This window comes from Homo sapiens, chromosome 12 (genome assembly GCF_000001405.40).
Source record: "Homo sapiens chromosome 12, GRCh38.p14 Primary Assembly".
Taxonomy (NCBI): Eukaryota; Metazoa; Chordata; class Mammalia; order Primates; family Hominidae; genus Homo; species Homo sapiens.
The window spans coordinates 54,015,345-54,036,951 of NC_000012.12; the positions used below are offsets into that span (position 1 = coordinate 54,015,345).

At 53.0% G+C, this 21,607-nt stretch overlaps 3 protein-coding genes, 1 long non-coding RNA gene and 1 other non-coding gene across 7 annotated transcripts in view, besides 9 other annotated features; 4 read left to right on the top strand and 1 right to left on the bottom strand.

Annotated features, from left to right (window-relative positions):
• Positions 669-2,403, bottom strand: LOC124902939 (uncharacterized). Its single transcript, XR_007063323.1, has 2 exons — positions 1,460-2,403; positions 669-1,009 (listed from the first exon to the last, which is right to left on the bottom strand). It is a non-coding gene; the product is annotated as an uncharacterized LOC124902939 (long non-coding RNA).
• Positions 1,544-15,479, top strand: HOXC6 (homeobox C6). 2 transcript variants are annotated; one of them, NM_153693.5, is made up of 3 exons: positions 1,544-2,070; positions 13,232-13,577; positions 14,311-15,479. In NM_153693.5, the coding sequence occupies exons 2-3, from the start codon at positions 13,424-13,426 to the stop codon at positions 14,616-14,618; spliced, it is 462 nt and encodes a 153-aa protein (NP_710160.1). In that variant the 5' UTR covers positions 1,544-2,070; positions 13,232-13,423; the 3' UTR covers positions 14,619-15,479. The 2 variants fall into 2 exon arrangements, with proteins under 2 accessions (NP_710160.1, NP_004494.1); NM_004503.4 differs by lacking the exon at positions 1,544-2,070 and having other exon boundaries at positions 13,096-13,577.
• HOXC5 (homeobox C5) lies at positions 1,544-20,017 on the top strand. Of its 2 annotated transcripts, none has more exons than NR_003084.3 (2): positions 1,544-2,070; positions 18,934-20,017. NR_003084.3 is itself a non-coding variant. In NM_018953.4 (2 exons), the coding sequence occupies exons 1-2, from the start codon at positions 17,779-17,781 to the stop codon at positions 19,146-19,148; spliced, it is 669 nt and encodes a 222-aa protein (NP_061826.1). In that variant the 5' UTR covers positions 17,706-17,778; the 3' UTR covers positions 19,149-20,017. The 2 variants fall into 2 exon arrangements, 1 of the variants encoding a protein (NP_061826.1); NM_018953.4 differs by lacking the exon at positions 1,544-2,070 and adding an exon at positions 17,706-18,232.
• The window catches only part of HOXC4 (homeobox C4), a 39,143-nt gene continuing 19,079 nt past the window's right edge, over positions 1,544-21,607 (top strand). Inside the window, exon 1 of the mRNA NM_014620.6 lies at positions 1,544-2,070. The gene's annotated coding sequence lies outside the window, so the exon portion shown is untranslated. The remainder of the gene's footprint in view (positions 2,071-21,607) is intronic.
• Positions 2,559-2,728: a silencer, noted in NCBI's record as "silent region_4521". NCBI's record gives its function as "represses an Ori minimal core promoter by ATAC-STARR-seq in GM12878 lymphoblastoid cells {active_cell/tissue: GM12878}" and the evidence as "EXISTENCE:reporter gene assay evidence [ECO:0000049][PMID:35858748]".
• Positions 2,799-3,068: a silencer, noted in NCBI's record as "silent region_4522". NCBI's record gives its function as "represses an Ori minimal core promoter by ATAC-STARR-seq in GM12878 lymphoblastoid cells {active_cell/tissue: GM12878}" and the evidence as "EXISTENCE:reporter gene assay evidence [ECO:0000049][PMID:35858748]".
• Positions 3,109-3,178: an enhancer, noted in NCBI's record as "active region_6432". NCBI's record gives its function as "activates an Ori minimal core promoter by ATAC-STARR-seq in GM12878 lymphoblastoid cells {active_cell/tissue: GM12878}" and the evidence as "EXISTENCE:reporter gene assay evidence [ECO:0000049][PMID:35858748]".
• Positions 3,109-6,317: a biological region, named in NCBI's record as "VISTA enhancer hs2078".
• Positions 3,110-6,317: an enhancer, noted in NCBI's record as "VISTA enhancer hs2078". NCBI's record gives its function as "enhancer in: heart[4/6]" and the evidence as "EXISTENCE:transgenic organism evidence [ECO:0001131][PMID:17130149]".
• Positions 6,385-6,594: an enhancer, noted in NCBI's record as "active region_6433". NCBI's record gives its function as "activates an Ori minimal core promoter by ATAC-STARR-seq in GM12878 lymphoblastoid cells {active_cell/tissue: GM12878}" and the evidence as "EXISTENCE:reporter gene assay evidence [ECO:0000049][PMID:35858748]".
• Positions 17,221-17,515: an enhancer, noted in NCBI's record as "tiled region #5451; K562 Activating DNase matched - State 12:CtcfO". NCBI's record gives its function as "activates a minimal TATA promoter and a strong SV40 promoter by Sharpr-MPRA in K562 cells {active_cell/tissue: K562}" and the evidence as "EXISTENCE:reporter gene assay evidence [ECO:0000049][PMID:27701403]".
• Positions 17,510-18,661: an enhancer, noted in NCBI's record as "VISTA enhancer hs1875". NCBI's record gives its function as "enhancer in: neural tube[4/7]" and the evidence as "EXISTENCE:transgenic organism evidence [ECO:0001131][PMID:17130149]".
• MIR615 (microRNA 615) lies at positions 18,606-18,701 on the top strand. The gene has a single exon (NR_030753.1). It is a non-coding gene; the product is annotated as a microRNA 615 (primary transcript).
• Positions 18,745-18,804: a silencer, noted in NCBI's record as "silent region_4523". NCBI's record gives its function as "represses an Ori minimal core promoter by ATAC-STARR-seq in GM12878 lymphoblastoid cells {active_cell/tissue: GM12878}" and the evidence as "EXISTENCE:reporter gene assay evidence [ECO:0000049][PMID:35858748]".

Below are 21,607 nucleotides of genomic sequence, written 5' to 3' on the forward strand. Positions count from 1 at the left end.
AAAGTTACCCCGCCCAATTAGGGAGAATTCAGGACAGGTTGTGCCACAGTCTAGAAGTAAAATTTCCGGTGAGCTGCCCGCAGCGCCGTCCCATTCTCCCCGCTGCCCATTGTGAAAAGCTGGGCCAGCGCTTCCTTGTCGTAATTTTTAACTACCTGTTATAAAATTTATGGGTGGGTTTGTGAAAAGAAACGAGGTCCCTGCATCCGGCCTAGGGAACTGCTTTTCTTACTATGGAGGAAGTCTGGGGAAGGCATGAGGTATCCCCTCTTGGTCAGGGTTGAGGCACCCAACCATTGAGATTCCCATGCCAGCTTGATGCGGGACCAAGTGGAGAGATGCCGGCCTTCAAATCTCGAGCCCGTGGGGAGAGTGACCTGCCTGCAACCCCTCCCCCGGCAAATAGTCTCTATGGGGGAATTTATTCTGGACTCACCTTCAAAATTAGGGGTCTGGAAAAACAGGCTGCTCGAAATTTTAGCACAGAAGGTGGAATTCAGGGCAGTAAAAGGTTATTTTTTCAGGCCTCGGTAGTACATCCCAGCTGCCCAGACATTGAATCAGGAAATTTTTCTGAGAAAGGCAGGTGGGTATGGGCAATCTGACACGATCCAAAAGGCTTACTGCCTTGCACCCCTCCCCGCAAAAAGGAAGTAGAGACCAAGATCTTGGGCTTTAATTTTATTTTTAATTGTAAAAAGATTTCAAATAAGCCACCATTTGAACTGGGAAGGGAAACTAGGGATGGTCTTGGGGGAAAATGTCATTCTCTCTAAGAAAGGGACCCCGGGGATGTGGGTCGTTTTGAGGGTCCTAGAAGTTGACCCCAATTCTCACCTCTCCTGCTGCACTGCAGGATTGCCCAGGGTAGGTCTAGTCCCCTAGGTTCTTCAGACCACTCCAGGTCAGGTTTGGTTGGGTGGCTGCCAGTGGTCTTCCACTACTGTTCCTGTCTAGGGTGGAGTAGGAGCTTTCAGGGGTACGGCATAGAGGGGATGTTGTTCTCTTACTAAAAAAAAAAAAAAAAAAAAAAGGTAGGGGTAGGGAGGCACCCTTTCAATCCCTGCAATTCACCAGCCATCACTGCCTCAAGGCCACAAATCTTTGCAAAGCTTTGAATTCCGCCTGATCCAACCTTAATGCCCCCATTTATTAAGGACAATATTTAAAACTCGGCAAGCCAGGAGAGGCAACCGACCCTCAGTGCTTGAAGCTTTCTTTCGCCTGGGCGTCCGCCCTCAGCTCTTTCTGCGCTCGCCTGCAGCAGCCTGGCCCGTGGGGAGTGGGCGGTGGGTGGGGGTAGGGGTGGGGTGGGGGTCCGGGGATGCTCCCTCTATGAGAGAATTGGGTAAACATGGCGACCGCGGCGCCCATTTGCACACGCTACACAAATGCATCGCATTCCCGGTTGTTTGCAGAAAATTTACAGCTGAGTAATAAAAGTTTACGATCGACTCACAAGTTGGATTGGCCACAAGAAGTCATGTGGATTCCATCCATGAACGTGAACTTTTTATTGTGGTTTGTCCGTTCCGAGCGCTCCGCAGAACAGTCCTCCCTGTAAGAGCCTAACCATTGCCAGGGAAACCTGCCCTGGGCGCTCCCTTCATTAGCAGTATTTTTTTTAAATTAATCTGATTAATAATTATTTTTCCCCCATTTAATTTTTTTTCCTCCCAGGTGGAGTTGCCGAAGCTGGGGGCAGCTGGGGAGGGTGGGGATGGGAGGGGAGAGACAGAAGTTGAGGGCATCTCTCTCTTCCTTCCCGACCCTCTGGCCCCCAAGGGGCAGGAGGAATGCAGGAGCAGGAGTTGAGCTTGGGAGCTGCAGATGCCTCCGCCCCTCCTCTCTCCCAGGCTCTTCCTCCTGCCCCCTTCTTGCAACTCTCCTTAATTTTGTTTGGCTTTTGGATGATTATAATTATTTTTATTTTTGAATTTATATAAAGTATATGTGTGTGTGTGTGGAGCTGAGACAGGCTCGGCAGCGGCACAGAATGAGGGAAGACGAGAAAGAGAGTGGGAGAGAGAGAGGCAGAGAGGGAGAGAGGGAGAGTGACAGCAGCGCTCGGTAAGTGTTTCCTTATTGGTTCAAATATGTAACTAATGGTCCGTGGCGGTTTCAAGAATAGGACAGCAGCGGCTTCTCTTGGTTAGGGAGAAGAGGGGGCTGGCGAGAGGGTGGGCGCGTAGTTAATTATGGGGAGGAAAATTGGCGGGGGGAGAGAAACGGGGTTAAACTGGAATACCGGTAACTGGTAGTGGGGCGATTGTGTTGTCCTGATGTCACTGTGTGCCAAGTTGGGGGTGGGGAGGCAAGGGAACAGCACCTGTGGGGCTCAAGCCGGCGGTCTAGGGCGCCAGCTCTCTGCTGCCCACTGTGTCAGTACCTGCTTATTATAGATCTTCGGTCTCTTGGCTAATGGAACTGGGTCGGAGCGGAACTGGAAGCTCAAGCTCCAGGCAGGAGAGAGAACTTAGAGGCTGTGCCCATTGCCCCCTAAGCAAAGTTAGCCCCCCAACCCCCAAACAAACTTTCCAGCTTCCCCTCCCTGTCTGGCAGCCCCCTCCCTCCCAGAGAGCGCGACTGCTAGAGCTCACACATGCGCAGTGTGGGCCCAGGGCCGGGCCGCCGAGCAGGAAGCCGGCGCAGCTAGGCGGCCGGCGGGGCCTGTTAATTGGCAATTAGGGGGGAGGCTGGTGGCTGGTGCGCGTCAGCCGAGAGGAGAGCGTCTGCCCACCCCCTGCTCCCGCCCCCACTCGGGCGGATGGAAGGGTGGGAGGTGCCCTGCGTTGGGTGGAGGGTGGAGGTTGTAGGGTGGGGGTGGGGGATGCTGTACTCAAAAGCCATCTTGTGCTCAGAGAAAAGAGGCCTACCGGCTTTCCCTTCCGGGGTCCGGCGCCCCTCACCCCCAGCCGCGGCCATCCCAGCCGGGATGCCCACTGGACCGGGATGCCCGCTCGCCACGCATGGCTGCTCTGGGCTAGGACCTGCCTCGCCTCGGGGGGAGGTGGAAATGGGGAAGGCCCTAGGCTGGGCGGGGACAGGCCCAGTCCTCCTGGTAGAGTCTCCTAGGTGCTGTGGAGGCAGTGAGGATTCCGGGGGCTGCTGGCTTATGGGGTAGAGGCGTCAGCCTGGGGCGGCGGGAGGGTCCTGGGCACTCGGGATCTCTCTAATAATTGGTGCTAATGGCCTGTTGTATAGTCTTAACCCGACGCATATGGTTTCATAACACAGTGGCTTAATTTCTTCCAAATGTACGTGGCCCTGAATGTGTTGCAGTTTGATATATGACCCCGCCCTGCTCCCCGGCCTGGGTCCGAGGCTCCGAGGCGGCCCCATAAGTGTGAATTTCTGTTTATAAACGGCGACGCACACGCAAACGCCTACACACCCAGGCAGACACACCCGGAGGCGTGGGGGAACATATTCCAGACGAGGTCCGAGAGAACCTGGGGGCCAGACTTACCTTAATCTAAGCCAAGACACCCCCTCTACCCCCACCCTCTCCCAGAGGCGCGACTGGGATTCTGCGCCAAGTCCCAGTGGGGGAGGGGATCGCTCCACGATTTCCTGTTTAAACCCTGACCCGTCGCCTGTGGGGGGGCGGGGATGGGGGAAGAAACCTGTTTTTATCAAATTTTTAAAAATACAGTTTGCATTCAGATCAAACCGTTTGGGCCAGAGCTGACGGTGAATTTTATCTCCCCTCCCCCCACAACCCCCTTCCCTTCCTTTTCTGCCCCCGCTAAATTCCCCTTTCGCAGCCATCATAAAGGCCTCTGAGGTATTCTCCCGCGGGAAGAAATGGCATTTTCTCTCCCCCTCCCCCACCCCCCCACCCCCAGTAGGACTTGTGTGTCGGCAGAGGCGTCTGACGAGGGGCTAATTTCGCTTTCCTTGTTTACGATCGAGAAAAGCGCTTGGCTCTCCCCAAATGGGCCCAGCCCGCCGCCTGCTCAGGCTGCCGCGCGCTCTCCCGCCGCTCAGGCACGGCCCAGTGGCTGATGCCCCGCGGATCCAGCCTGCGGCAGGCCGGAACCCGGAGTCTGTGGGACCTGAAAAGGGCAAAGGGAGTGCGGTGGGACACAAGAGGGGCCCGAGAGGCCCGAAAAAGGGAGCCTTTCTCCTGGAGTAATGTGGGAATCGCCGACCGGTGAGGCCTCTATTTCTCTCTTTCGCCTGCATTTTGTCCGCCCCCGCCCCTGTGGATGGCCGCTGATGGGGGGGAACACAAGTGTCCTTTGTCCGTCCCCGAAAGAAAACCTTTTCCAGAGAAGGCCATTCAGGCCAGTGGAGATTCACCTAGAATATTAGAAGGGCCCCCTCCCACCCGAGGGGCGGGCCTGGGCGAGGCTGAGGTATTTCTCTTAATCCTAGAACGACCTCACTGAGTGTACCCACAGCGAGATTTGGAGGTGCTAGAGTTCGAGGTTGGCCGCTTAACAGCACCATCCTGAGGTGTCTTTATATAATATTTTAATTGATTTTCTGTCCCTTCCTGGCTACAGCCCTGCAGCTCCCCCACCCCCATCCTATGCCCTTCACCCCTAGACCCATCCTTACAAGACAGAGGCAAGCAGAGAAGGCATAGCAGCAGCGACCGGCGCTCTGTTTTCATTTTCCACTCTGGCCAGGGGATAAACTGGACCCCAGTGGACTCCAACACCAACTCTCTGCTTCCCAGTTACTTTCGATTTTCTTTCCCTTCTCCTTCTTTCTCTCCCTCTCTGGCATTCAAACAGAAGCACAAGAGGACCCACCAGTGGCAACTCTAAGCCTCCTTGCAGGCCACATTCCCTGCTGACGTGGTCCTTCCTGCAGGAGAGCCCTTCTGTGATTATCTAATAATAGCCAGGGTGGCTGAGAATAGAATCTGGCTCAAGGACTCTGCACACCCGGGGCAGAGACACTGAATCTGTGGGTCAGGGCCTGGCAACATTCCTTGGAGCCTCCCCCTCTGAGCCCACTCTTTGGGCACCCTTAGGCTTGCCTGCCCCCCTTATAAGGGGCTTTGTCAGCCCTGCCATCCGCTGTATTTCATGTGCTGGTTCCTAGCTAAGGAGAATTGGGCAGAGCAAACCCTTTCTCACCCTGGTCTGACAGTTGTGATCCCGACAGAATGCGACCTTGTTTGGAGAAGGCGACCTTGTTGGGTTGGCTGTGTTCTGAAACCAGGCTTGGGAGTGTTATATATTTATTATATACAGGCTTAAATATACAGACTCAGGCTTATGCATGAATATATACAGACTCATATTTCCTTGGTGGTTAATTGTATATTACCATGCCTATATTCGCTCAAACACCATTTTATGTTCATGCAAAATTTTGTTAGTCCTCACTAGATGAGAGTGGGCTCATGGAGGCACCGGGTGCACTGAGCAGGCCCTCTGTGCATGCTCTGCTGGAAATATGTGCTCACTGGAATCGGAGTATGCGGGTTCCAGTAACCAATGGATGCCATAAAGGCTTTCTCAGACCTTATTGCTTTTGTTGCCCAAGCAGCTGGACTGGGGAAATACTAAATCCCTTCTGCTTTCTCTCCACACCTCCTGGCAAACTCTCCCAACTTAGAAATTATTTTACAAGGGAGACCAGTTGTCTTGAAATTGAGTTCTGCGGGATTCTTTTCACGGGCATGGTGGGGCTGCAAGCAGTTCGGAGTAGTCAGGGCCCTGGCGCTGGAAGCCTCACTGGAGCGATGAAGGGATCAGAGTGGTTAATAAGGTGGCCTCTGGACAGTGATCTGGGGCAGCTGCTGGCCAGGGTGCTTGGAGAAGCTTGTGGAAAAGGCAAGCCAAAAGGGGTAGGGATGCAGTGAATATCTGTTTCTCCCCCTGCTTGCCCCAGCCGGCCGCTCACCCCGCCCCAGCCCGATTTGCCTGCATCCGTGGCGGCAGATTGGGAGTTCTCTAAGGTCCCCCAAATACCCAGATCTGGTTACTGGATGAACTGCGTTTTAATCCTCGTCGCTATCTGAGCCAGGACAAGACCTGGTCAGGGAGACGGCTGGTCCGGGCAGCACGGGAGAGGACGCTGGACCCGCTGCCTGTGGCCTGGAGCACTGAGTATGGGCTACCAAGGCTGAGAATTGATGGGCCTCCTTTCCCAGCCTTTTTCCCTTCCAGAGACACAAAAAGACAGAGCAGAGGGGAAATATCAATGTCAGTGGAAAACCCCATAAAAGAAAGCAGGGACCAGAGCGGGGCTGGAGGGGTTTTCCGCTACTCTCTCTAGGTGATCGGGTTCCTCCCAAGACTCTTGTCCAGACAGGCTGCACCAAGAGGTGTGCAGCTTTCTTCCACCTTCCTCCCGCCCTTCAAGGAGGGCAGCCTTAGGCTTTCTGGGCCTTGGTCACCCCAGGCACTGGGGTGACATTACTCCAGGATTGTGCCCCTCGCCCAGCCCACGGCCTCTGCCACGGCGCCGCAGCCGCTCCTGTTTATTGTGTCTGTGAGTTGTTTACTTGTTTTGTCTGCTGCCACCCTGCGTCAGAAACCCGCCAAACCAGCGAACTCGCCCAGGAGAACAAAGTGCTGTGCTATCCCCGGACTCCCTCCCCTTTCCAGCAACCCCCTCCTGCCCTCACAAGCTCCTGCATTCTCCCTTTCGGAGGGGAGGAAGCAGAAATAGTCTTAAAACAGGGCAGCTGTTTATAGGGTCAGGGGAATTATGGGGACACCATAAACCTCTGGGTGTCCCTGTGGTGGACAGACTTCTGAGCAGCCCTTCCCTTGCCTAGGCTTTTCTTCCTTCCCCTGGTGACCACTTGGTTAAGGGGGCCACACTCATTGAGAAAGTTGAGCCCACCCCCATCAACCCAGTCCCCCACTACCCCACTCCTTTCTGCAGGAGTTTCCCTGAGACACAGGTTGTTGGGTTTTAAATCAGGGTAATGTTGGTGGATTCATAAAGCTAGATATAGCATGTCATTCTTCTCCCACACTCCCTCTCCTCAGCCCCCCAAAATTGCAGTGAATTTAAGCAAATCCTACAAAATTAAATTGCCCCTTTGCTAAAGATCCTATATGTCTCCAATCCTGCCAGGTGTAGAGTCAGATAGTTGGCTTTTGGCCTTTAATTTTGCTGCTAGCTATTAAATTTAAAAGAGTATCATTGAAGTAAGTAATATTCTCATTTCTGAAATTAATTTTCCCCTCCCAGTCTCTCTCTCTCTCTTTTTGCCAGCACAGATTAAATGGTTCTTTCAGATCTGCAAACAATAAAGGATAAAATTATTTATAGGGAAATGAGGATGCTGTTTTATTGTTGGCATATTGTTCCAGAACATAACAACATTTTATTTTCAAGCAGGAGAGGTTAGACCAGGGGGAGAAAGAGGGGGAAAGGAAAAAACATGAAAGGAGGGCAGGAACCCACACACAAAACTCCTGCCATGTATAACTGGTAGGACATTTACAATTTCTATATGACAACTCACTGTGATGTCATAATACCGAGTTCTTGAATTTTATAATTCTCATGAACCTCTCAAATGGGTCCAAGCAGTGCTTCATGTGGAGGGGTATAGAAGAAGCCAGGAGGCTGGGGATCCTTTGACCCAGTGCAGAGCAGCACACCCCCTATTGCGGCTTCTTCCTCATGTGACATCCTCTTGAGGCCCTATTCTGGGGGCTGAAAATATTCTGGATATTCTGCATTTTAATTTTTCTCCTGGGCCAAGCAGGGCCACTTGCTTTGCCCCCCTCAAGTGTCCCTAGGCATCTAAGCTCTCTCCCCATTCCCAGATCACAGAGAGCTGTGTCCCCAGGCTCTCCCCAAGCCCCCTCCTCAGCTAATACTCAGCTGCTTGGAATAGAGGTGGGAGGCTTGGGCACCAGCCCCCAAAAAGCCAGAAATGATTTTTTCCAGATGGAGCTGGAAGGGGGCTCAGGGCTGAGCGTGATGGGGTAGAGATGTTTGGGACCTATTTTACGTTTTAACCTTAAGTCAGAGAAGTGAATTGAGAAGCCAAACAAATGCCAATGTGAGAGTTTGTATCTGCTGATGGTAGCAGCAATAAGTGAAGTGCTGGTAAGGAAAGGTCAGGCAGAAATCTGGAAAGAGAGAGGGAGGAGAGGAAATGTGACATGAGTTAGCAGAGCCCTTCCATATACCTTTCTTCTCCGTTTAATTGTAATAAAGCAAAAGCAGCTCGGGTAGCCTCTCAACCTCTTAGCTCAAAAGAGGAATCACCAGCGCAGGCCTTGGAGGTGTTTGGGGGCAGTTCTCAGCAGCTTAACATGCCCAATCTGCCCTCTTCCTCCTTTCCCCCTCCCTGCTGATCCCCAGCTCCCTTCAACTGGTCAGCCCGGGCCCTGTCCCCAAAATATTAGCACCCCCAAATGATATCCATTTCTGTGTTAGGTGTGTCAAATTTCACTTCTCTCCATGCCTAAACTTTGAAAGGAGGAGTGTACCTTTTTGGAATGCGGTGTGTGTAGCGGGGGCAGGTATGTGCTCAGACAGCTTCCCCCATCATATCTATGGGAAACTGGAAGCCCCTTAGGTGAGCCATGCTTTGGTGTTCCCAAACAGCATTCCCTGCATTCAGGTTCTCTGGCAGACCAGGAGGCTCTTTGCGATCTGATCCTTTGACTAGGAGTTCCATGGAGATCAAAGGAGCTTATTTATACACAAAACACCAGGCATTTGGAGTAGAATTTATTTTTTAATTTCTAAATAAAAAAGTCTAATCATAGACCAATCGGGCCAACTGAGCAGTCGCTCCAGAACAGCAAAGCCTTAACCAAATAGTGTGATTATGAGGGGAGCTGAGCAATTACTGAAACTCGGCTTTCTCCGTAAGAGGGATTTTAGCCCTCGCCCAGTGGCACAAAAGGGGCCAGCGGGGCAACCGTTCTTCTCTTGCTCAGAAAAGTGAGACTTGGGGGTGGTGGGGGCAGGGTCGGGCAGCTGCGGTCGCGTCCAGGCAGCTGAGCACCCAGGCCAGGCGCTGAGGCTGAGCACTGAGTCCTGAGGCTCCAGTGCTTGGGTCCCCGAGCAGCCTCAGGAGGCACCGAGCTGTAGTTGCAGCGCGGCAGTCAGGAATGGAGTATGTGTATCTGTGTGCGAGGGTTGGTGAGTTACAAACATCCGCGCAGAGTTAGGGGATCTGGGGAGAGAGAGGAGACAGGGAGAACACAACTAAGGAGGACCTCTGGAAAATATTGTCCCCAAATAAAAATTCCAGATCTCATCCCTCTCACTTCAAATATCCCTCCCCAGGAAATTAATATATTTCCCAGAGCTGAGTGGAAAGCAAAGGCCAGCAAGGTGAGGCCTGCCCACGAACTTCTTCAGGCTGGGTCCAGTCCCACCCACCCTTTCCCCAGTTCAGAGCTCACATGCCCCCAGCCTTTCCCTGGCCTAAAGGGGAGTAAGGCTGGAGTGGTAGCATTTAACTTGCCTAGGGAAATCCCCAAGTGCCCAGGCTGCAATGCCACCCTTATCCTTGGGGACTCCAGGCCAGTGACTGCACCCCACTCAGGTCCAAGGCGCAGGCAGTAAATTTCTCTCCTATAATTAGCGCTATCAAAAGCATGTGTTTTGCATTGGAGAGGACTGGAGAAGCAAGTGGCAATTTTTCCCTTGTATTCTTTTTCTGTGTTTTTTGAATTCTGTTTTTGAATCCACTAATTAAAGCTTCTCTGAAAGTGAAAATCTGCTCTTGACACCAAGCCCCTTCCGAATGCCTGATTTGGGAGGCTAAGGGGCCAGAGCAGTAGCAAGGAGACCTGCAAGCCTGATGGGGTTGGGGGGTAGTGTTCTCTGATTTCTTTAGGCTCGTTTTATAGAAACAAAGAACAAGTTCTCTCCCCTCCTTCCCAAGACTTGTGCATATTTACAGAGCACAACTGCAGTTTTAATAAAACATCTGTTCTTGCTTCTGCTGATGAGTTTCCATAATTGTTTTCAGACAAATTTAACAGGAAAATATAAATATATTTAGAAAAATCTAAGTCCCAGCTTTCCCCCTATAGACAGCCATTCTTTTGCCAAAAAAATAAAATTAACATGAAATGGGAAAAAGAAAATATAATCCAATGTAGGGAAGATCGGGCTCATCTGACCTGCTCTCCCCCCTTGGAGCGAATCCTTTCAGCAAATTTCAGCTGCATAATTAAAGATCTAAGAGAAAGAAGAGGGCTTCTTCTTTCCTCAGGAATGAAAGGTAATTGGGGGGGGGGGAGGTGTTGAAAATTAATTTTGCCAAAGGTCTTTAAGCAGTGGAGGAATTTATTTGTATTTCTGTTTCCCCTTCTCTCCCCCTTCCAGCATTTCTGCCTTTTTCACCCAGCAGCTGGTTTCTGTTCATTATAAATCGGCGAGACCTTTCAGTCTCTGCCCTCTGTTTAGGGACGTCATAAAACACTTAACTTTCTGGGGCTGAGGCTCACATTCTGCCTCTCAGGTCGCCAACCTCCCTGAGCCCACCGACTTTAGGCCCCAATAGAGAATCTCCCCAACTTTGGGGCCCCTTTCCTCTCCAGACATGGTTGAGGAGGGGCTCAAGGAAACCTAGGCATCCTTGCTGGGGGCTGTAGTCCATGCTGCCCCAGAAGCCCCTTCTTTCTTCCAAGGTCCTTCCCTCCCCCACCCAGACATAAAAGAGATTTTTAAATACATAGAAAATCAACACTCATTGAAAGTGAAACCTCATTAAGACATCCTATCTTCCATCATTCAATTTGTTGTACATTGCAACAATTTAATATCTTGAAGGAAATATCACTGACATGATTTATCCCTCTAGCAATCTCTCTCTGAAATTGGAGGGGGGGACAGAGTTACTCTCTCTTCCGGCCTCTTCTACTTGTTACACCACTACCCTTAGGGCAGAAAGGAGGCTGGGAACTCTGAGAGAGGCTACTTGTGTCCAGGGGTGCACTGACTTGTTCCCTAGCTCAGTCCCCAGAGTACTCCTGCCTTGTTGTCTCTCCCCCACCTCTTGCCCTCCAGGGGGCCTGAAGCCTCAGCCAGCTGTTGGAAACCTCTGCTCAGGCATGCCATGAATTCGAGGACAGCTGGATTCTAGGGCAAAAAGCAACTCACATTGGTGTCTATGTTTGTGTACCTGCCAAGTCACCCCAAAAATGAGATAACTCATCTAAAATTTTTTTTCTTAATTTAAAAATCCTCCTCTACCCTTTCCCCTTCATTTCCTTGGGGAGAAGAAAGTGTGATCTAGAAGGAGGAACCTTTATAATTATAGGAGTCTTTCCCCTTCCCTTCCAAATACCGACAAATTTCTGTCCTTTCTGGAGGATTGGGGCTGTATTTTCTAAAACCAACACAAATTGTCTGGCAGGAAGACTCTTCAACCCCCTAACGAGGTTCATGTATTAACTAACATGTTGTCTCCACCAGCTCCTGCACACTGTCTGCTTTTGGGTTCGAAACTTTATTTTTCCCCCCTAGCGACACTCCAGGGAAACCTTAACGTTACAGAAGATGAATAAACGAGTTTTTTCTCAGCATAGTCCCGTTTATGGCTTTATTGCTACCCATTGATTACTCCGCTTTGTTACACAGAAGGAAAAGATCATAAAATCCGGCGACATCCGGGTTCTTGTTATAGCCAGCTTTCCCCCCCCCCAACCCACCCAAAAATGGTGGGGGGGGGGGGATATGAGCTTTCTCTGCTCCCCGCACACTCCCCACCACCCTTCTTTGTCAACTCAAGGCATTTTCAGCCTATATCACGATATCAAATTAAGTTTGGACTAATCAGGAGAAAACCCCCATCTGCACACTTTCCGCTGTTTCAGTTCGCCTACTGCGGCTCCCTCACAAGCCTCGGATTCAGCTGCCTTTTCGTAACCGTCTCTTCCCTTTTTTTAGCCCCAAGATGGGGGAATAAAATGGGCGTTGAGGTTGCTGAGAGGCCCATCCCCACCACGGGTGACTGGCACTTGGGTGAGAGCTCCTTAGAACCCCTTTCTGAAGTCTCCAAGCCTCATAGCTCAGGTCCAGGGGCGCCTCCACTGGCGGTGCCCTGAGTCTGGAGGGGGCAGGGGGGCTTCTGACCAAGGCAGGGGCTTGAGCCTGCAGGAAGCTAACTGTCCATCAGAGCCCCACCAGCCTTCTCTTTCTGGCTGGATCCTATGTGAATTACCCCACAGGCCCTCACTGGCTCCAAATAATAAATTCTCACCAACATAAACAGGAGTTGATGTCTCTAGAAAGATTCTCAGAGTTTTCGTTCTTCCTCTCTCTCTCTTTCTCTCTGTCTTTCCCCCTCCGGTGCCACCTCCCTACATTTTACTTCTTTTTCTCCTTTTTCTATTGCATTTTTTATACATTTTCCCTTTTAGGCAAAAATGCTGGAAGAGTTTTCCCAACAGAGGGGTCCTGAGAAGGAGGCAGAAGGGAGCCAGGAGGCAAAGGAGAGCAGATGCGTGGCCCATTTGCCCACTCCAGCTCTGCCACTGTACCCTGAAGTCTTGCCCCTTTAGACCTAGTTGTTCCCCACATCCCTACTACATTCAAGACTCTCAGCCACACTCTACTTACTCAGGGGAACAGGTTTTATGAAATTTCTTTCTACTTTTGATTTTTTTTTAATTATTGGTGAAAAAAATACTAGTTTAGTGATGGGACTCACTCCATGGAGTGTCAAAACAGGATTTCCTGCAGGATTTCTAGGGACCCCCCTCCTGTGCTGGGAGGGAGTTCTTCCCTTGGAGAAATCAGGATGTAATTTTAGAAGGGGGCAGATATAAAACATGAAACCAGATTGAAAATACAGGGGTTTCTCTAGCCCTGGCTCTGGCCACAGCACAGCAAAGTTAGCTGGGGCTGAGAGATTTCCTGGTAGTACAGCTCTCCTTCCCTGAGTCCCAAGGCCCTGCTCAGGGACATGCACCCCTCCTTCACCACCAAACCAGTTCCCTTACATATATATATATATATATATATTTTTTAAAAGAAATCCAAGTCTTACTTTCAAAGCACACACTTAGTCTCAACTAGGGAATCAACAGAAGCAGAAGCGATTTTTTTCCCCCTTCCTGACATCTGGCTTGCGATTGGCTGGGAGGGGGTCAGCTGACTTTGTCATTTTGTCTGTCCTGGATTGGAGCCGTCCCTATAACCATCTAGTTCCGAGTACAAACTGGAGACAGAAATAAATATTAAAGAAATCATAGACCGACCAGGTAAAGGCAAAGGGATGAATTCCTACTTCACTAACCCTTCCTTATCCTGCCACCTCGCCGGGGGCCAGGACGTCCTCCCCAACGTCGCCCTCAATTCCACCGCCTATGATCCAGTGAGGCATTTCTCGACCTATGGAGCGGCCGTTGCCCAGAACCGGATCTACTCGACTCCCTTTTATTCGCCACAGGAGAATGTCGTGTTCAGTTCCAGCCGGGGGCCGTATGACTATGGATCTAATTCCTTTTACCAGGAGAAAGACATGCTCTCAAACTGCAGACAAAACACCTTAGGACATAACACACAGACCTCAATCGCTCAGGATTTTAGTTCTGAGCAGGGCAGGACTGCGCCCCAGGACCAGAAAGCCAGTATCCAGATTTACCCCTGGATGCAGCGAATGAATTCGCACAGTGGTGAGTTTTACAGCTCCGAGATATAAATTAAATAAACTGAACTGGCTTTATGACCGGCTTCCCTAGAAGAACGGGCGGAGAGAGTTTTTTATGGCCCCATAAAAACAATCACGCTCGTCTCCTCACCGAGACAGGGCCCCCTCTTCTGCCCCCTCAGCTCGCCTCTCGCTCGCTTGCAGGGGCCTGGCCCCCTTGGCCCCTGACGGATTGGAGGGCCCCAAGGCGGGCTGAGGGGGCAGGAACAGGGCAGGGGATGAGGGGAGGGAGCAGAAGATAGGGGAGCCCCCCAAAGTGGAGTCAGTCTGAGGAGAAGGGAGGGGGAGAGGAGAGGCAGATAAGTGGGGAGAAGTTTCCAAGGAACTAGGATGCTTGGGGAGATGGGGGAGCCCAGTCCTTGAGAAAGGGGGCCCTCATCCCCATTATCTGGGATTTTTCAAAAATCTGCTTTTAGACTTGCAGCTTTCTGTTTGCCTTTTGCCCCGCCCCCCCGCCCCCCCCCCCACCACACACCTTTCTTTGGGACACACAGGTCCCACCTTATAGGAGGTCTGAAGTTGGGGTCCTCGCTGTACCCCCAGTGGGGGTGGGGCAAGGCAAAAGGGAGAAGGCTAGAGCCCTAAGGAGGCTGTGAGCTGCTGGCCAGGTTGGGAGGGTCAGGACTTTGCTAGGCGAAACAGTCTGCAGAGGACGCTTTGCTGATTGCTTTTAGTGTGTTTTGTGCCCGGATCTTTAGGGGTCGGCTACGGAGCGGACCGGAGGCGCGGCCGCCAGATCTACTCGCGGTACCAGACCCTGGAACTGGAGAAGGAATTTCACTTCAATCGCTACCTAACGCGGCGCCGGCGCATCGAGATCGCCAACGCGCTTTGCCTGACCGAGCGACAGATCAAAATCTGGTTCCAGAACCGCCGGATGAAGTGGAAAAAAGAATCTAATCTCACATCCACTCTCTCGGGGGGCGGCGGAGGGGCCACCGCCGACAGCCTGGGCGGAAAAGAGGAAAAGCGGGAAGAGACAGAAGAGGAGAAGCAGAAAGAGTGACCAGGACTGTCCCTGCCACCCCTCTCTCCCTTTCTCCCTCGCTCCCCACCAACTCTCCCCTAATCACACACTCTGTATTTATCACTGGCACAATTGATGTGTTTTGATTCCCTAAAACAAAATTAGGGAGTCAAACGTGGACCTGAAAGTCAGCTCTGGACCCCCTCCCTCACCGCACAACTCTCTTTCACCACGCGCCTCCTCCTCCTCGCTCCCTTGCTAGCTCGTTCTCGGCTTGTCTACAGGCCCTTTTCCCCGTCCAGGCCTTGGGGGCTCGGACCCTGAACTCAGACTCTACAGATTGCCCTCCAAGTGAGGACTTGGCTCCCCCACTCCTTCGACGCCCCCACCCCCGCCCCCCGTGCAGAGAGCCGGCTCCTGGGCCTGCTGGGGCCTCTGCTCCAGGGCCTCAGGGCCCGGCCTGGCAGCCGGGGAGGGCCGGAGGCCCAAGGAGGGCGCGCCTTGGCCCCACACCAACCCCCAGGGCCTCCCCGCAGTCCCTGCCTAGCCCCTCTGCCCCAGCAAATGCCCAGCCCAGGCAAATTGTATTTAAAGAATCCTGGGGGTCATTATGGCATTTTACAAACTGTGACCGTTTCTGTGTGAAGATTTTTAGCTGTATTTGTGGTCTCTGTATTTATATTTATGTTTAGCACCGTCAGTGTTCCTATCCAATTTCAAAAAAGGAAAAAAAAGAGGGAAAATTACAAAAAGAGAGAAAAAAAGTGAATGACGTTTGTTTAGCCAGTAGGAGAAAATAAATAAATAAATAAATCCCTTCGTGTTACCCTCCTGTATAAATCCAACCTCTGGGTCCGTTCTCGAATATTTAATAAAACTGATATTATTTTTAAAACTTTATACCGGGAATTCTGTTAATTCGCTCGCCCGCCGGCCTCAGGGTGAGAGCTGGAGCAGGCTCCAAGCGCTCCCGCGCCTGCCGGCCCCCTGCAAGCCCCCAGCCCTCTGCACTCGCCTTCCCCGGAGCCCAGGCGCCCGGCCCCGGCCTTCTGTTCGTTCTCGCGATCGCACTGAGGGGCTGGGAGGCCTCTCTGGGCTCCCTGCGCGGAGCAACACACACACCCTGCGGGAAAAAGCCGCGTAGGATTTTGTTGCGGGGGGAGCTGGGATCAGTCGGTTTGGGCACCAACCCCACGCAGGCCTTTCTTCCTGCCTGTGGCAGCCGGTGTCCTCGGCGTCCGAACCCTGAGGCGCCCCGAAAGACCAGTAAAGAAGCACTATCCAGGCACCAGGGTCTCCTCCACCCACTCCCGGGAGTTGGAGGCGGGGGGCGCCGTGAGAGCAAGCCCCAGGCCCGCGCCAAGCTGGCTGTTGCGAAACGTAGCGGAGGCGGAGAGCGGAGGGAAAGAGAAGACCGCGGGACTGGAGCCCTGTCGGCAGGGATTGAGCGATTCAAGGACATCTCGAGAGAGAAAGCCTGGAAACTGAGCTCTCGCCTGCTCTGGTACTCCTGACGTGGCCGGGACAAAATTCCTTCTTCATTACAGCTCCAGCCGGGCTGGTTCCTTACTTTTCTCTCCTCAAACGGGTGAAGAGGCGGGTGAGGAGCGCAGCCGGACCCTAACCATTTATCAACCCTGGCCTTCTCTCTCCAAGCCTGGCCAGAGAAACCTGAGTGGGCCTACAGGGAGAGGTGTTGAGGAGGGTCTCCGGAGGGAAAAAATCCGCCAGAGTTTTCCGGGCCCTTCAGATTCCCTCCAGCGCCCCCACCCTCGCCTCCAGTGCCTCCACCAGTGAGGAGGGGGCCTTCTCCTGGCGGGGCGGAGATTTCCTGGGAAGAAGCAGGCAGGGAAGTATGAGACTTGGGGCTACGGGGGAAGAGGATGGGGCCGAATGGCTGCAGATACCCTGCGAAGGCTACCCAGGCGCCTGCCCTGCCCACCCCCCAGGTCCGCCCCATTCCTCTTGGTAGCTCAGAAATTGCTCTCTTGTGAACCTTATGGATTCAGGTCCCTGGAAAGCCTAGCCCAGAGACCTTTTCCCCAAAGGGCACATAACGGGCCTTTTCCTCTGCCATGCTCACGTAATATTTGTGGAGGCTTCAATCTTGCTTCTCCATGTCCTCAATTAACATCTATTTTCTGTCTAAAACCTCTGGCATAGGTACCACATAAGGATCGCACACAGGGAAACAGAGCAGTCCTCTAGACCATTGTCTGGCTCTGTCCGTGTCCACACACACACTTGAAAATTGCCTTGTTGCCACTCTGGGGACCCTAGCATGGTGAGGTCTAGCCAACTCCACCTGGCTCCTCACCTCCAGATCCATCCCAAACAGCCTGCAACACCCTCAGCTTCATGACCCCCCTATCTTGTTCTGACCACTCAGGATCCCTCCTCCTGGGCGTCCTGTCTACCTCTTCAGAAGCTAATTCTACTTTCTCTTGCTGATAGGCACCTCTTCAGCAGTAGTGGAGCCTTAGGGCCTGAGAGGCAAGGGACTTCTACCTTTGGTTTAGGGAACCTAAGTTAAACCCCATTGGTTCTCCAGCCTGGGCATAGGCCACCTTACCTAACTTAATCCCCTTTCCTCAGCCATTTTTGAAGATTGGAAGACCCTGGAGGTTGGGAGAACGGGACTTTCATTACAAAAAGCACTCTGTGCGTTATAAGTGGGGCCTCGTCTTTTCCCAATTTTAAATAGAATTTAAAAGGCTAGCTCAGGGGTTGCCCCAACAACCAGCTTCTCCTTCACAGTGTAGGAAATCCAGCCACCGGAAAGCAAGCTGGCGCTCCAGGATGCAATTCCCCCACATAGGCACCAGGTGTCGCTGTGGGCTTGTTGTCCCGGCTACCCCCAATTCCAAGAACCTTTTTTTTTTTTTCCCTCCCCCTTCCCTCTTTCTCTCTCTCACTCCCTCTCCCCCTTGGTTGGGCTTTGCCAACATATCGAGATGCTTTTCGCCGGCTTCCATCACTAACCTCCCGGAGGTCATCAAGCCAAATTTATGAGTGGCCGCTCGAGTCACGTGACTCTATTTAAGGCTCCCTTATTTGGGAAGAGCGCATAGGATAAAGAAAGAGATATCTCCACCTATAAATTGTCCACTTTGGAGAACAAAAAACCCCTCAACTTCAAAGAGTCACAAATCACCCTTAATCAAAAAGGGTGCAGAAATTTTTTTGGGCCCTCCCCGCCATGAGCTCCTACGTAGCCAATTCATTCTATAAGCAGAGCCCCAATATCCCTGCCTATAACATGCAAACTTGTGGGAACTATGGATCGGCCTCAGAGGTGCAGGCATCCAGGTACTGCTACGGCGGATTGGACTTAAGCATCACTTTCCCACCGCCTGCGCCTTCCAACTCTCTCCACGGGGTAGACATGGCTGCCAACCCCCGGGCTCACCCCGACCGCCCCGCCTGCAGCGCCGCGGCCGCTCCGGGACACGCTCCGGGCAGAGACGAAGCGGCTCCTCTGAACCCCGGGATGTACAGTCAGAAGGCGGCTCGCCCGGCGCTGGAGGAGCGAGCTAAGAGCAGTGGGGAGATCAAAGAGGAGCAGGCGCAGACAGGGCAGCCCGCCGGACTGAGCCAGCCACCGGCCCCGCCACAGATTTACCCGTGGATGACCAAACTGCACATGAGCCACGGTAAACTTTAGGACTTCATTTTGCGCTCTCGGGTCCGCCTGGGTTTTATAGGCCATGCGGGGCAAATAAAGAAAAAAAACCTGCGGCCATAAATTTTACGATCCAGGCATCAATGGCTCGTAAAACTGTCCACTAAAAGGCTTAGAGGCTGTGTGCGCCCAAATTTACGACGACATAATTGGATCATAGGAACAAAACGTGTATAAAAGGCAATATTCAATTTTTGGGGGAGAGGGAGGGAGTTAAAAAAATAGAGGGATCTGAAGGGTGAGGAGCGCGGGGCTCCAGAGCGGGGATCCCCCCGCGGCTCCCTCCCTCCCTCCCCTGCGGAGCCGGCTCCGCCGGCGCTTGCGGCTCCGGAGGATTCCAGCGACTCGGGAGGGGCGGGAGGGGGGTCCCCGGTGCTCGGATCTCGAGGGTGCTTATTGTTCGGTCCGAGCCTGGGTCTCCCTCTTCCCCCCAACCCCCCCTCAGCCCCTCCGGCTGCAGAGTGAAGGCTGCGGTGGAAAGTTTCCTGCCTGGGCGGAGGCGCCTCTCCCGGGGCTGGGCTGGGCTGGCCCGCCTGCGGCCCGCGTGGCCTGTCTTGCGGCTCTCGCCTCCTCTCCCTCCGGCCGCGGGTGGGGGCCTGGGCTGGGGTGGGGACGGGGGAACGCTGCAAGCTATTCACCCCTTCCTGGCTTGGGGTGGGGTTTATGTTCCAGAGACGGACGGCAAGCGGTCCCGAACCAGTTACACGCGCTACCAGACTCTGGAACTCGAGAAAGAATTCCACTTTAACCGCTACCTCACTCGCCGCAGGCGCATAGAGATCGCCAACAACTTGTGTCTCAATGAGAGACAGATCAAGATCTGGTTCCAGAACCGCAGGATGAAGTGGAAGAAAGATTCCAAAATGAAAAGCAAAGAGGCTCTTTAGAGGCAGCGGGGGAGGCCCGCAGAGCGCGCCCCTAGCCGGTTCCTGTCCCTGCGCCTTTCCTTTTCGCCTTTCCTCTCTATATTTCGGGTCGGGGGCAGGTGCTGGAGCACTGGGCTCCCGGGCCCCACAGACAAAAGCGCTTTTCCTTGGCATTCCGCATCCCTACCGACCCAGGGTTCCCGCGGGGCTGTCGGCGCTGCCCCATCTCCCCTCAGCTCGGCTCAGCTCGGTACCCGGGGCCCAGGGCAAGCTCCGCAGGACTTCCCCGGAGGGCTGCGGCGTACAGGCTGGCGCAGAACGAACCTTGGCCTGGGCCGTATCTCCGGCTCCCAGCCTCAGCGCGGCCCTCCCGAGTTAAGGTGGGCCCGGCCCGCGCCACAGGACCCTCGCCGGACCCTCTAACCTCGCCCTCTCCTTTGTTCCCGGCTGGACGGGTTAGACAGCCAAAGGCTGGCGAGAGTCTGGCCCTAGACTCGGGGTGCTTCCTTGTAGCGACTAAACTAGATTTTCACTTATGAATGATTTGCATATGAAAGGAGAGCATCGGCCTAGGGCCCCCACAGTTGCTCTATGCTTTCCAAACCTTATCTCCACAACCTCTTCCCCCCAAAACCCGGGAACCTCCCCAGCCTGCGCCTGCTGCATGCCCTCTCAGGCCGGCAGCCCCAGCCTGCTAGCTAGCTCAACTAGTGGGGTTTCCTGGCACTGGACCCCAGCAAGTGGTCCTAGAGGCCCTTTGCTGTCCCATAGTCCCTGCCACGAATTTCTGTGCCCTCCTGACCCATTGCTGTTGTCCAACTATTTATTGACTCTGGGTCCTTCCTGAAACTATATTTTGTCATATCAAATAAAGAGAGAACAGGACTAAAGATGCAGTGGCTCCTGTCTGTTTGGGGCATGTATTGGGTAAAATTGTCTAAATGGGCTGTGAGATGTAGAAGGAGACCCACAAACTTTAAGCCACCCCTTTAAAAAATTTTCTAGCTTCTAGGGGCAGTGAGTAGAGGGAGGTGAAATTGAGCTCCTTTCCTGTTCCTTGGCTGCAACAAGAGCCTCTGGGGGAAGAGAAGGGCACCTAGGCCTCGAGTACTGGCTTTTCCCATGCTGTGGCTGTCCAAGGCCTTCACGCCTCTGCACTCCAGGAGGCCTCTGGACTGGCAGCAGCCCCCACTGTGTGCCAAAGCTGCGGTGCAGGAACCAGTGGCTCCACCGTGCTCAGCCTTAGGACCTTCTGGGCCTCTGAAGATCTTTCCTGGGCCTAGGTGGTCCCTGAGAGGCCTTGCTGGACATAGAGGGAGGGCTGAGCCCTCACTCTAGGGACCCATTTGGTCTCATAAGGGCCTCTAGAGGGAGGTGGTATTGCTTGGTAAGGGGGTGTTGGGAGAGTTGGAGGAGGTGTGCCTCAGTATCTAAGATACTGGGGAAGAGGGAGCAGGGAGGACAATCTGCAGTGTGTATCAGCCTGGCAGGAAATGTTCAGACTGTTTCCACCACCTTCTAGGGCCTCGGGCTATGCAGGACAATTAACTGGGAAAGGAGCTGCATAGACCAGTGCTGGAGTCACGTCTGTCTGCCATCATTTATCTCAGTCTCTGGGATTTTGTGTGGAGGGGAGGATGGGTTAAAAGTGGGGGTGGGAGGAGGCAGATAATTCAGGTAGTGTCTGAGGATCAGGTCCTTCTCCAGGCTCCTGGGATGGGCTGGGGGAGGAAGCACTTTACAGTAGAAACAAATGTGGGAAGGGTCCATAAAACTTTACTGCATTTCCTCTCCCACCTCCCACAACAGGGTGATTTCCTGGAGCCAAGCCTAGGCCCCCCACACTGGTGGGGTGAGGGTCTGGAGCTTGGCTAAGGGATTGCACCAGCAGCCAAGAAGAAAGGGGAGCAGAGGGGCTCTGGGGAGGGGCAGGGGAATATTTATGATTATTAATGCTGATGCTCCTTGGATTTATTATAAGGACTAACTTCGCTGCATCCCACTGCCTAAGCTACCCATCAGTCATTTTTTAAAAGACCCAAGAGCCTTTCCTCACCCCATGCTTGGCACATAGGCAGTCTCAACAAATGCTTATTGAACAGTGCCCACAACTACCACCCTTCCCCTTCGCACTGCACTCAGGCCAGGTTAGGGCGCCTGTTGTCTCTCCTCAACTTGCACACAGCAGTTAACCCAGACCAGTGCTCTCTCTCTCTCTCTCTGAAATAAAATGTGTAATTTTCTTCAGGGAGTTATTTTAATTTTTTCTCCATGCTGAGTAAAACTATTGAGTGAGCAGTGAAGCGTGGAGAAGCACTGGCGTCTCCGGTGGGTAACAGTTAACTAAGAAAGAGGCTGTGGCACCCGCACCCACCTGTTCCAGCCTCCCAGGCTGCCCAGGCCCTGTGCTTCCTCCCCAGGGGACAGGCGCACCACCCCAGGGGAAAACCAAGGGCTTTGTCATAGATAGGGGCAATGTT